General features: G+C 48.1%; 1 protein-coding gene and 1 long non-coding RNA gene across 6 annotated transcripts in view, besides 7 other annotated features; one reads left to right on the top strand and one right to left on the bottom strand.

Annotated features, from left to right (window-relative positions):
- Positions 1 to 7,175, bottom strand: part of LOC105372633 (uncharacterized) — a 38,193-nt gene extending 31,018 nt beyond the window's left edge. Inside the window, exon 1 of the long non-coding RNA NR_146919.1 lies at positions 7,106 to 7,175. This is a non-coding gene — a long non-coding RNA (uncharacterized LOC105372633). The remainder of the gene's footprint in view (positions 1 to 7,105) is intronic.
- Positions 6,472 to 6,631: an enhancer, noted in NCBI's record as "active region_17973". NCBI's record gives its function as "activates an Ori minimal core promoter by ATAC-STARR-seq in GM12878 lymphoblastoid cells {active_cell/tissue: GM12878}" and the evidence as "EXISTENCE:reporter gene assay evidence [ECO:0000049][PMID:35858748]".
- Positions 6,899 to 7,528: an enhancer, noted in NCBI's record as "H3K27ac-H3K4me1 hESC enhancer chr20:45035065-45035694 (GRCh37/hg19 assembly coordinates)". NCBI's record gives its function as "activates a minimal SCP1, AML or CMV promoter by ChIP-STARR-seq in naive H9 embryonic stem cells {active_cell/tissue: H9 hESC(naive)}" and the evidence as "EXISTENCE:reporter gene assay evidence [ECO:0000049][PMID:30033119]".
- Positions 6,899 to 8,158: a biological region, named in NCBI's record as "H3K27ac-H3K4me1 hESC enhancers GRCh37_chr20:45034435-45035064 and GRCh37_chr20:45035065-45035694".
- Positions 7,082 to 7,141: an enhancer, noted in NCBI's record as "active region_17972". NCBI's record gives its function as "activates an Ori minimal core promoter by ATAC-STARR-seq in GM12878 lymphoblastoid cells {active_cell/tissue: GM12878}" and the evidence as "EXISTENCE:reporter gene assay evidence [ECO:0000049][PMID:35858748]".
- Positions 7,148 to 7,622: a silencer, noted in NCBI's record as "fragment chr20:45034971-45035445 (GRCh37/hg19 assembly coordinates)". NCBI's record gives its function as "represses an EF-1alpha promoter that drives an FKBP-Casp9 reporter gene in an ReSE screen in K562 erythroleukemia cells {active_cell/tissue: K562}" and the evidence as "EXISTENCE:reporter gene assay evidence [ECO:0000049][PMID:32094911]".
- Positions 7,312 to 7,901: a silencer, noted in NCBI's record as "silent region_12975". NCBI's record gives its function as "represses an Ori minimal core promoter by ATAC-STARR-seq in GM12878 lymphoblastoid cells {active_cell/tissue: GM12878}" and the evidence as "EXISTENCE:reporter gene assay evidence [ECO:0000049][PMID:35858748]".
- Positions 7,339 to 12,364, top strand: part of ELMO2 (engulfment and cell motility 2) — a 40,566-nt gene continuing 35,540 nt past the window's right edge. For all 5 annotated transcript variants that reach the window (NM_182764.3, XM_006723854.4, XM_005260496.4 and 2 more), the window contains exon 1: positions 7,339 to 7,406. The gene's annotated coding sequence lies outside the window, so the exon portion shown is untranslated. The remainder of the gene's footprint in view (positions 7,407 to 12,364) is intronic.
- Positions 7,529 to 8,158: an enhancer, noted in NCBI's record as "H3K27ac-H3K4me1 hESC enhancer chr20:45034435-45035064 (GRCh37/hg19 assembly coordinates)". NCBI's record gives its function as "activates a minimal SCP1, AML or CMV promoter by ChIP-STARR-seq in naive H9 embryonic stem cells {active_cell/tissue: H9 hESC(naive)}" and the evidence as "EXISTENCE:reporter gene assay evidence [ECO:0000049][PMID:30033119]".

Raw genomic sequence — 12,364 nt, 5'->3', positions numbered from 1 at the left:
GGGGCAGCTTGGCTGATTCTCAAAGCACAGACTATCACTGATTGGTTGGTTTCAGATGCAGATTCAGTGAGATGAGTTGCCATTAACCTATTAGGCTTAAGACCAGTTCTGGTGGTTACTCATTACTAAGGCCATAGAACAATCAGTCTTTTCCTATGAGGGTGGGGGCTTTTTAATATTCACATCCCACTCGGACTCCTTGCTTCCATCTTCGTATTCTACAAGCTAGTCTCAACACAATCTGGTCACAGCAACCAACTAGATATTTTTCAAAACTTAAATCAGATTTTGTCATTCCCCTGTTTGCAAGCTTCCAATGGATTCCTATTATACACAGAATAAAACTAACCCTCTCCACAGCAGGGCCAACAAGGCCCTTAGTAGTAGCTGCCTGCCTTCTCCTTAACCCTTCTCTTCTCTTCTCTTCTCTTCTCTTCTCTTCTCTTCTCTTCTCTTCTCTTCTCTTCTTCTCTTCTCTCTGCTTTTGTAATCCAACCACCCAGTTGAAGTCATGATTTTTTTTTTCTGTTCCTTCTACCTGGAACACCCCACCTTTCACTTCTTACCTGGAAAACTCCTATTCATCTACCAGGTCTCAATAGAATCATCACCTCCACAGGGAGGACCTCCATGACTACGCTCTCCTCCTGCTTTGATTGTTGGAATGTAGGGAGGTGAGCCTAACCATTTTCCTATTACATTTATCACAGTTTATAGTCACACTGATATGTTTGTTTGCTTCTTTATATGCTGTCTGTCTCCCCTGTATCACTGTGAATGCCAGGAGGACAGGGACCATGTTTGTTTTGATCACTAACATACAGCCACTAGCTAGCAGACACAGAGCACTCAACAGATGTTTGTGGAAAGAATAGATAGACGATCATATGTAGAGGTCTTCCTAGATAAACCAGAGCCTCATCTCATGGTCACTTCCCGCAGCCAGCCCTCCACAGCCAGGCCTTCACTTCCTCTATCATGGCTGCCTCAACTTTTCAACAAATGGGCAGCTGCTCTGGACAAACTGAGCCAGTTCTGTAGAACTGAGTGTAGACACTCAGGGAGGTGTCTAGTGAAGCAAAGTGACCATACACCGGTTAAGGAACCCCCAAACCCGCCCCAGGCTCTGGGTTCCAGGACTCAGCTACAATTGAAGAGGATGAACACAATGGATGGTGAGACAGGGTCGGGAGTCAGCAAGACTAGCTCATTCTCCCCACCCCAACAACCCCCCCCCCACACACACACACACACATCTGTTCAGGCCATTAAGACCAACTCTCATTGACTGAATACCTCTCTGAAGTAGAAGCAGGAACTTTACTTGCTTTTCTTTGTGTAACCCCTGCACCAGACCCATGAGTTAGTTCCTACTATTACCCCAGGACCCACAGTAAGGATGGCAGTATTCAGCCAGCATAGCCACACCAACTGTTAAAATATTGAAATTCTTCCATATTCATTGGTAAATAGTAGCTGCCTCAAACCACTCTTCCCCAGCAACGCTGACCTCATCTTCCACCTCCAATGCCCCACATTCCAGTAAGTAAAAGGGTTAAAGCCTTGGATATACTGTGGGGGAGGCAGAGGGACTGTCTCCTGGGACCCTGGGGGGTGGGAGGGGGTGCTGTCTGTTCTGATCTGTCAGTACTGGTGCCTCCCTGGGTGCTGAATGTTTTGCATTGTTCATTAGGACTGTCTGCTTTGTTGTAGCCAAACAAAATGTTGTACTATTGTAATGTTGTTACTATTGGACAAGCAGATCCCAGGGGCCAACCTGAGCACTGGCTGGGGGCTTGTCTCTGGTTCAGACAGATGCAGGGGATTCTAAGGCCAGCCACCCAGCGAGTCTACAGCCTCCCTGAGCTTGAATACAAAAAGCAGCAAACTCACCACCAAGTCCCAGCCTGGTTACCATTTTCAGAAGCACTGAGCCCTTGCTGTGTGTCTGCTCTGAGTGAGGTTCTGTACAAGGAGACTTGCCAGGGGGCACTCCAGACCCAAAGAAGGGCAACATGGTCATTTCCAGGGCACAGACCTGGAAGGTCAGAGTCCACTTGTTCAAGCCTCTGATCTGCCACTTAATAGCGGTACAGCAAATGACCTAATCTCTCTGTCAGCTTCCTCGTGTGAAAAATCGAAGTCCTAACAATAATTCCTAATTCAGGGGGTCAGGGTAAAGGTTAAGTTAGATGCAGTATGTAAAGTCCTTAGGAGTAAATAAATTAATGTAAAATCCTTAAACAGCCCCTGATCCCCACCCCAATGTTATATTGCTAAGTGGCAGCTATTATTTGTATTTACTGTGTGCATTAGAAATTTTGCAAATCTCAGCCAGCTGCAGTGGCTCATGCCTGTAATCCCAAAACTTTGGGAGGCTAAGGCAGGAGGATCACTTGAGCCCAGGAGTTCGAGACCAGCCTGGGCAACATAGTGAGGCCCCCATCTCTACAAAAAACTTTAAAATTACCGGGGCATGGTGGCGCGCACCTGTAGTCACAGCTACTCGGGAGGCTGAGGCAGGAGGATCGCTTGAGCCCAGGAGGTTGAGGCTACAGTGAGCCATGACTGCGCCGCTGCACTCCAGCCTGGGCGACAGAGTGAGACGCTGTCTCAAAAAAAAAGAAATGAAAATTTTCAAATCTCATTGTTTCCCCAATGCCCCCCCCCACACACACACACACAAATTTTCAAATCTCATTGCTTCCCCAATTACACACACACACACACACACACACACACACACACACACACACACGCCCCCCCCCCCCCCCGGCTTGCTTGATGTTGGAAGGTGGCTTCCGATGCCAGCAGAGGGCGCTGGTCTCCCGCAGGCGGCTTGAGCACGCCTTCCAGGGGCTGACAGCCACTGCTCACCAAGAGTCCGGCCCCTTCCTGGGCTCCACTCACACAAATACATCATAACCACGTCCCTCACCCCCCAGTTCCTGGAAGAACGATCTTCGAAAATTAAGTTATTGTGAGTTATGTGAACCCCTAGCCTGCAAGCGCTGGTGCTAGACTGGCTGTCTGCCTCCTGCCCTTTTGCTTCCCGTTTCAAGAACCAAGTCACCATGAATTTTCTTAATGATACTTTATTCGCCTGTTTTAGCCATTTTTCTTCTCTTTCTATCTGAGGCAGAGAGTGGTCTTAATGGAGACAGCGCGCTATTGCAGAAAAGACAGAGGCCTTGAAATTAAATAGAGCCGGGTTTAAATACTGGCTTCACCACTCAACCAGGTAACCGTGGGCAAATGTCTAAAGTCTCTGTGCCTCAGTTTCCTCGTTTGTAAAATAAAGGTGATAGCAGTATGTGCTTCGTAGAAACATGAGGATCAAATGAGATAAATCATGTAAAGACCTTAATACATAGTCTCATCTATATCCAGGATTAATAAGTGTGAAAAAAATGAAGAATTAAATACGCAGTGGAATGCTGTTTCCACTGAGTGGTGTAAACAGAAAGTCGGACTGACTGAGTACCAGCCAGGCTGAGGTGCCTTAGCAAGCTTTTCACATCTCTAATCTTCAATCTTTCTCATCTGCAAAATGGGCACACTAATCTGCCATAGAAAGTTGACAGTTTTAAGTGTGGTAATGTGTATAACAGCCTCCGGTATAACTCTTGGCACATAGTAAACCCATGATAAATGCTAGTTCTATTTCCTTTAGCAGATAAATGAAGGTTTTGACATTTATGAGCTACCATGTAAAAATCCTTTTGGGACGGGCACAGTGGCTTACGCCTGTAATCCCAGCACTTTGGGAGGCCAAGGTGGGCAGATCACTTGAGGTCAGGAGTTCGAGACCAGCCTGGCCAACATGGTGAAACCCCGTCTCTAATAAAAATACAAAAAAAAAAAAATTAGCCTGGTGTGGCAGCAGATACCTGTAATCCCAGCTACTTGGGAGGCTGAGGCAGGAGAATTACTTGAACCTAGTGGGTGGAAGTTGTGGTGAGCCGAGATCACGCCACTGCACTTCAGCCTAGGCAACAGAGCAAGACTCCATCTCAAAAAAAAACCAAAAAAGCCTTTTGTTGTGGTGGCAGGGATTGTATTTGACAATAATTCTATGTGAGAAGGGCCATGATTAATCTGTAACTGTTTAGAAAGATTTAAGTATAAGTCAAGTTCATAGAGACCTTCCATTTACCCATAGGTCATTTTTGTTTACTCAGTGATGCAACCATTATTTTACATGGTCAAAATAAGATATTGACCCCATATTATGTACTATAATAGATATGTTCTAGGTAGCAGAGATACAGCTATGATCAAGACAGTCAAGATCTCTGCCATCATGGAGCTTACAACTAATGGGGAAGTCAGAAAACAAAACAAAGTAATATGACATGCAGTGCTAGGGAGAAGACTAGAGCAAGTTAAGGGAAGAGAAGGGTGGAGCGGCTGGATGATAGGAGACAGTGCTGTCAGGGAAGACTTGGAAGAGGAGATAACAGAGCATGGCCTGAATAAAGTGAAGATGGAAGCCATGTGATGAGCTGGGGGAAGAGCATTCCAGGAGAGGGAACAGCAAGTGCAAAGGCACAGAGATGAGAAGAAACTGTGTGTTCACAGAATGGGAAATTAGTATGTAAGACTCAAACAGTAAGTTAGGGCGAGAGTAGGAATAGATTAAGTCTGAGAAGTAAAGTGCCAGATCATCTAGGGTCTTGTAGACCGTGGTAAAGATTTTGTCTCTAAGCTTCCCACCACTCTAAAGATGGGCCATATTTGCCCAGTGTGGTGGCTGATACCTGTGATCCCAGCACTTTGGGAGGCTGAGGCAGGCAGATCACTTGAAGTCAGGAGTTCAAGACCAGCCTGGCCAACATGGTGAAACCCCGTCTCTACTAAAAATACAAAAATTAGCCAGGTGTGGTGGTGCACACCTGTAGTCCCAGCTACTTGGGAGGCTGAGGCAGGAGAACCTCTTGAAACTGGGAGGCGGAGGTTGCAGTGAACCAAGATCATGCTGCTGTGCTCCAGCCCGAGTGACAGAGGGAGACTCTGTCTCAAAAACAAAAAACAAAAGTCAAATGGATTAGAGAACTGAGAGGGGTAGATAATTCACTCACACAATAAGTACTTATGGAAGGCCTACTATAATTTTAAAATTTTATAATTTACAATTTATTGAGCACTTAAATGCAGACATTTTGCTAACTGTTGTATATTTACAGTGATCTCATTTCTCACAACAATCCATTAAGGCTGGTACTGTTATTCTCCCCATTGTACACATGAGGAGACAGGCTCAGAGAGATCTAGTAACTTACCCAGGGACAAACAGCTGGTAAATAGCACAAAGGTCTGCAAGGTTACAAAGCTCAGAATCTCTACTATCCTCTCCCACGTGCCAGACACAATTGCATTTGTGTAATCATGACATTCAGCTGCAGGTACTCCTCCTATTTGATTCCAGCCTGAAAACACGGCACCTGAACCTAGTTGCCCACTGGGAGCAGCTGAGGTGGAGGAAGAGGGATCTGGAACTCTGCACTTCTGTGCAGTCTTGGTGGAGCTGTCCATCAAGTTGCCCGCCCTCCTTAGCTAAAGTGTGGACATGTTACCTGAGCTCCGCCAATCGAACCCTTGCTCCAGGGACTTTGACTCATCAAAGAAAACTCTGGTCAAGAAAGGGAAGAAAAACATGGAATTGATTCACTTGCCTGCCTAAACTCTCAAAGCATCTCCACTTTCTGTCCTTTTCTAAGCCTGATTCTCCAGCTTCCTGTTACCTCTGTGAGTTAAACACTAGCCTGCCAATAAAATCTTTTTTGGGTAAAGTTAGCCAGAATTGATTCCTAAGACTGGCAATCAAAGAACCTGCACTGGCAATATCAGGAAAAAAAAATGACACAGTCTTGTAAAGCTCTCAAGTGAGTGATTCATTCCTTGGATAAATGTGTTATTAAGCAGAGCCAGGACTAGGATGAAGCAAACTGAGGCACCCAGGGTACAAAATTTAAGCCTTTCTTCCTCAGTGTTGTGTGAGTGCAGGGTTGGCTCAAACAGCCCTCCCTGCTATCAAAGTTAATAATAAAAGGAACGGAGAAGATCATTTCGCTTTCACATAAGAGTATGAAGTGAGTGTCCCAAGTAGGCAGGTAGCATTTGGCACCTCCTGTGCTGTAGCTCTGTTCCCTAGCACGTCGTCATCATCATCACAAGGTCAAGGCTGGGTCCAGCCAGTGAGAAGGAGAAAGAGTAACTCCTGCCAGAGTTTTAGCAATGTTAGCTATGGCTAAGCCTCAACCTCCCCAAGCCTCACTTTATTCACCTGTAAAATAGGACTAACAAAAATCATCTTTAATTCCAAGATGTTTCGAGGATCAAATGAAACAACGTATGTAAAACTGCTTTGCAGACTGCGCAGTGGCCTACAAGTGGTAGTCACTACATCGTCTCTTTGCTGAGTATCAGTTTCTTTATCTGCAAAGGGACAGCTGAATACACACCTCCCAGGATTGTTGTAAGAATCTGCTAGACAAACGATTAAAGTATAAACTTTGGAATCCAACAGGCATAGGTTGGCATCTTGCTCTGCCCCTCACCAGCTGTAAGATCTCGGACCCTCTCTGAGCCTCAGTTTCCTCATCTGCAGCGAAGGGATCACGGTGCTCCCTCCATCACACGGCTGCTGTGAGCATGAAGAGAGACAGCAGGAGTGAGTCCTTGGCGCGGTGCCCGGCCTTGTTCCGATCCGCAGGTGCAGTGACGAATGCCACCTCCCACGGATCCCTTCCAACAGCACAGCTGAGTTGTACCCTTCTGCCTCTGCTCAGCGCCCACGGTCAGCCCTGGGTGCCGGTATAATTAGCTCCAACTCGGTGGTGAGCAGCGCGGCTGCTCACAGCCTCTGACACGACTGTCACCTCCCACTCAGTTCCCCAAACCACAGCTATCCCCACTGTTGAGTGTGCGGTAAGTGCCCGCTGGGCACAGGGCGGAGTGCCACCAGAGGCCCGCTTAGAGCTCACAACCTATGATTTGACACAGCGAGCAAAAGCCTTTTCCTTCACTCTAGGACTGCATACCAAAAAGAAAAAAAAGTTTGGGGGAAAAAGAAAGCTGCCTCTTGGGTTAGCTGGGAAATTACCTTCCTTCAGACCCTGTAGCCCGCAGGGGAATGGCGTCCTGTTTCTTTAAGAGGCCTCCACTAGGGGGGCGGGGACGGCCGGCGTTTTTCCCCTCTACCGGCAGCTGTGCCCGCCCCTTCTTGAGTGACAGACAAGCAACCTAATTGAAGAAAGAGACTTCAGCGTGACGGCGAGTCGGAGCAATAGAAGCCGGGCCCGGCCTGTGCGGGGCGGGGTCCCAAGAAGGCGGGGCGGGCGGAGGCTGGAGGAGCCGCCGAGCGGAGACCCGGGAGCAGGAGCTGGGCCTAGGTCTGCGCCCTGGTGAGTGAGGGGCGCCCTGGGGGTCGGGGCGCGGCAGGCGGTGGAGAGGGGCCCGGCCCGAAAGACGCAGGGAAGAGAGGCCGGGCCGAGCGTTGCGGCTAGCGTCTGCTCCGGAGGCTGAGGGGCTGAGAGGGCGGGCCTGGGCTGGACCGCGCCGGCTCGTCAGGCCCCCGAGGGGTGGCGGCCCTGCCGGGGCCTTAGGAAGGGAGGAGAGACCGGGTCCTGGACCCAGAAGGGGCGTCGCGTGGCGGAAGAGGGCGGGCCAGGCAGTCAGGCACGGGGGCTGGGCTGGGCAGCGGTCGGAGGGAGAAGGAGGGAGGCGTTGGGTGGGAAGATCGGGGAGGGGCGGCAAGGAGAGGGCTGGGAAGAAGCCGGAGAGCGCTCGGGGCGGGCCCGCACGAGTTGAAAGCCCGGGGTCATGCTCAACCTGGACCCGGCTGCCCGCGTCCACCAGTCCGCCCCGTGGATCCTGCTGGCTCAGTAGCACCCCGGTGCATGTACTTTCCACCTCCTGCGCTCACCCTTGAGTTCAGGCCCCTCTCGCTTCCTGCCTGGGCAGTTGCAGTGTGTTAACTGGTCTGCCCTGCGCAGGCACAGGGGCCCTTCTCCTGTCGGCCTTGCACCGTGCCCAGAGAAACCTTTCCTTTTTTTTTGAAACCTTTCCGAGACGGAGTCTCGCTCTGCCGCCCAGGCTGGAGTGCAATGGCGCGATCTCGGCTCACAGCAACCTCCGCCTCCCAGGTTCCAGCTATTCTCCTGCCTCAGCCTCCCAAGTAGCTGGGATTACGGGCGCCTGCCACCACGCCCAGCTAATTTTTGTATTTTTAGTAGAGACGGGGTTTCACCGTGTTAGGCTGGTCTCGAACTCCTGACCTCAAGTGATCCGCCCGTCTCGGCCTCCCAGAGTGCTGGGATTACAGGCGTGAGCCACCGCGCCCAGCCGAGAAATGCAGAGCAGATCTGGATGCTTAGGGCATGAAACTGGCCCGGCGTCCCACCCCTTTGTAGGGTCAGATCCAGAACCTCACCCAGGCCCTGGAGATCCGGTCCCGCTGACCTCTCCCAAGTCTGTCTACTCGTCCGTCCGCTTGCTCAGTGCTCTCCACACACTGGCCTCTTTCTGTTCCTTCTACATCCCAAGCTCCTGCCTTCCTTGGGGCCTTTTATTTAGTATTCCTCCTCCCTGGTCTGCTCTTCCTCCCCTGGCTTAGTCTTGTAAACTCTTCTTCATCCTTCAGATCTCCGCTTAAGCATCACTTCTGCAGGGGAGGCATCCCTGTCCCTGACTTTTCGACCAGTACCCCACGTTTATCACCCTGGGTACTTGTCCTTAACAACACTTGCACAACTGCAATTTTACATTTATTTACAAAAGTATTGATATTTCTCTGTCCATCCCACCAGATTGTAAGGTCCACGAAGAAGATAGTGTCGGTTTTGCTTCATGTAGTATCTCTAGCATCTCACACAGGGCCAGGCAATATAAATATTTACCAAATAAATAGATGCAGGGTTTGAATTTGGCAAGAGGAAGGGGATGTGAATCGTGGTCACTGATGTCCTACCTGCAGGGGAATGAAACTGACATTTGGAATGCTTTTTGTGTGCCAGGCTCTATGCTAGAGTGATGCTGCTGTCTAATAGAAATGTAATGTGAGCCATAGATATAATTTTAAATTTTCTAGTAGCCACATTAAAAAATGGAACAGCTGAAATTATTTTAGTAATATATTTAACACAATATATTCCAAAATTATATTATTATAACATAATCAATATTAAAACATTATTAATGGGATATTTTACGTTCTTGTTTTTTGTACTAAGTTTTTGAAACCTGGTTTGTATTTTACACAGAGGGCAGCCTGTGCCACTTTTCAAGTGCTTAGTAACCACCTATGGCCAGGGATTGTGGTATTGGGCTGTACAGTGTCACACACTTTGTATACCCTCTAGAGTCTTTTGAGATAACTGTTGTTATCTGCACTTTACTGATATCGATAGTGAAGCTTCTAAAAGAGGTTGCCTGCCGGGGATAATTCTAGAGTTTGTAAGTGGAGGAGGTGAGATTAGGACCTCTATCTGTTCATCTTCAGTCTGGTCTTTCTATATATCTGATGTGGACTCTAGGAGGTGCAAAGGAAGTTTGAGGGTACAGGAAGTCAGGACCAAACTTCTTTAAAAACTTCAGTGTACAGCATATTCTAGCTTGTTCTGTGCTCAGATAATGTGTCCAGATGTAGCAGTACCACCTGCCAAGGTGGCTCAGCAAGAAGCATATTTGATGCAGTTGAAGAAAACCCTGCAAGGCAAGTCCTTTGACCTGGTCACCATACCTCGGCCCAGCCTGGACTAAGTCTGGTCCCAGGACCTGGATAGAAAAAAACACATACCATGCAGCATCTCAGAGGTGCTGAGAATACTAGGCTTGAGTTTATAGCCTGGCTTTTCTATTTTTTTTTTGAGATGGAGTTTTACTCTTGTCGCCCAGGCTGGAGTGCAATGGTGCCATCTCGGCTAACTGCAACCTCCACCTCCCACGTTCAAGCGATTCTTGTGCCTCAGCCTCCTGAGTGGCTGGGATTACAGGTGCCTGCCACCGTGCCCGGCTGATTTTTGTATTTTTAGTAGAGACGGGGTTTCACCATGTTGGCCAGGCTGGTATTGAACTCCTGATCTCAAGTGACCCGCCCACCTCAGCCTCCCAAAGTTCTGAGATTACAGGCGTGAGCCACGGCGCCCGGCCTACAGCCCCAGTTCAGCAATTGCTCACTGAGTATCTACCACGTGACCAGCACTGTTGTAAGCCATTTTTGGTGATTGGGCGGTGTATGTCATAGCCTTCATCTTCAGGATGCTTCAGGTATACTTGGAAAGACAAGACTGGATCACATAAAATGACTAGATGGTATGCAAGGCATCATGAGGTGTAATGAAGAGCCAGAATCAGTATGGGCTGGAGGCTGCAAAGTGGCTGTCTTGGCCAAGCTGCATGATGTGTTTTTAAAAATGTTGGATTTAAACTCCTCTAGGCAAGGTGGTACTTTGCAGTGTTACAGACCCTACATGGAGGCTGCTTGTTTTATTTACTTACCTGCTTGGCTGCCCAAGACATTTGAATTTATAACCCTATTAGGCATGCTATGCTGGTTTCATGTGAGTCACTAGAAAATATTTGTTGAGCACTTCTTATTTGCCAGGCATTGTATTAGCTGCTGCTTTGGAACTGATCATAACATTTTCCAAAGTTCTTCCACTGGGAAATAGTAATAATAATAGTGGAACACCAACAAATGCTTTGCCTTTTGTATTGACTTTCCTCCCGGACTGCCTTCACATATGCTCTCTTATTTTGTCAACAATACACAACATACCTGCCTAGCAGGTAGGGCTTACTGTGTTGGGGAAACGTGGTTTCAGAGCTTTTGCAGTTTCTTCAGGTTCACACGGTTAGAATTCTGCTATTATGCTTAGTGCTTTATTATCCCACTTGATGCTCACAACAGCTTTACGGGGTAGAGTTGATGCTAATCCCCATTTTACAGGTAAGAAAATCGTTAGTGCTAAGATCCAAGTTCAGGCCTTTCCCACTCCAGAACACAGCTCCTAACTTGTTAAGCTACACTTCCTCACTAGAAGGCCAAAGTTGGAAGAAAGCTCAAAAACATCTAGTCCAGCCCCCGATGTAGATCAGGACCTGAGGTCCAGAAAGGCTTGTGTTTGTGGCAAAGCTGTGCTGCAGGAGGAGGACTAAACCAGAAGTGGGGGCCTAGGCCTTCTTTTGTCCCTAACTGGTGGCATGGCCTTGCCAGCTTCTCTGGACTTCAGTTCCCTTATTTATGTAATGAAAGGGCTTGGCCTGATTTTACACTGAGAACAATGCTGTGCTGTTATGGTCAGTATTGAAGGAGTTCACAGCCCGAGATTTTAGTTGTAACCCAGGACTCTTCCCAGCACACCACACTCCCTCCCTACCCAAGCTCCATCTCCTTGTGCAATCACGGTTTTCTAAAGTTTAATTCTGAAGTTCATCTGTATTTTCCATCTCAGTTTCTGTTTCCTCTCATTTCCAAAAACTGAGGTAAGTGGTTTGTAAACACTGACTTTTTGTAAATTCATCTCTTCAGTCATTGTGGTTAGGGATTTGGAAAGTTCTAGGCAATTAATAATCCTCAGTCAGTAGTGTTTTCACTCTCTTCTGAAGGCATTTAGGTCTGGAGGCACCCTGGAGGGAATTTTCCTGTGGAATTCTGTGGACACAGCTATGTGGCAGGCAGTGTGCTGCAAACTGGGGGAAGAGTAGATGGGGGAATAGACTTAGGCTTCATGAGTCCTTGCCCTCAGGTTGTCAACTCTCCTGGAGCTGTGGGTCAACCCTGAGCATCTGAGAGTTTATAAATGACCTGGGGTGTGTGTTGATGGTGCACAACCAGAGTTGAGAACCACTGTTTCTCGGACCTTATCTGATCTAGAGCCTATGTCCCAGACTTGAACATGCACTTGAACCACCTCAGGATCTTGTTTGAAGGCAGATTCTGATTGGGTGGGTCTGGGCTCCCAGGGATACTGCCGCTGCTGGTATGCACATCACACCTATCGTAGCCAGGGAAGAGACTGCACATAGAGAATTATAAATCAGTAGGATCAGGAAGGTATGTACAGAAGACTGGGATCACAGATGAGGCTGCAATTAATTTTCCCTGAGGTGAGAGGATTAGGAAAGCCACATAGAAGAGTGATTATCTTAGCTGGGCCTTGAAGGTTGAGTTGAAGTTTGCCAGCTGGACAAGGAAGAGGAAATAATAGCACAAGCAAACATACAGACTCAGAAGAGCATGGTTTTTCAGGGAACAGGTGGTCTGGTGAGAACATGGCATCTGCAAAAGCGAATCTGAAAGCCAGTTCCACCACAGAGCCACGGTGGAACTGGAGTAAGTTGAATGCTCTGCTAAGGAGCT

Source organism: Homo sapiens, chromosome 20 (assembly GCF_000001405.40).
Source record: "Homo sapiens chromosome 20, GRCh38.p14 Primary Assembly".
Lineage (NCBI taxonomy): Eukaryota > Metazoa > Chordata > Mammalia > Primates > Hominidae > Homo > Homo sapiens.
This window is presented reverse-complemented; position numbering and strand designations above follow the sequence as displayed.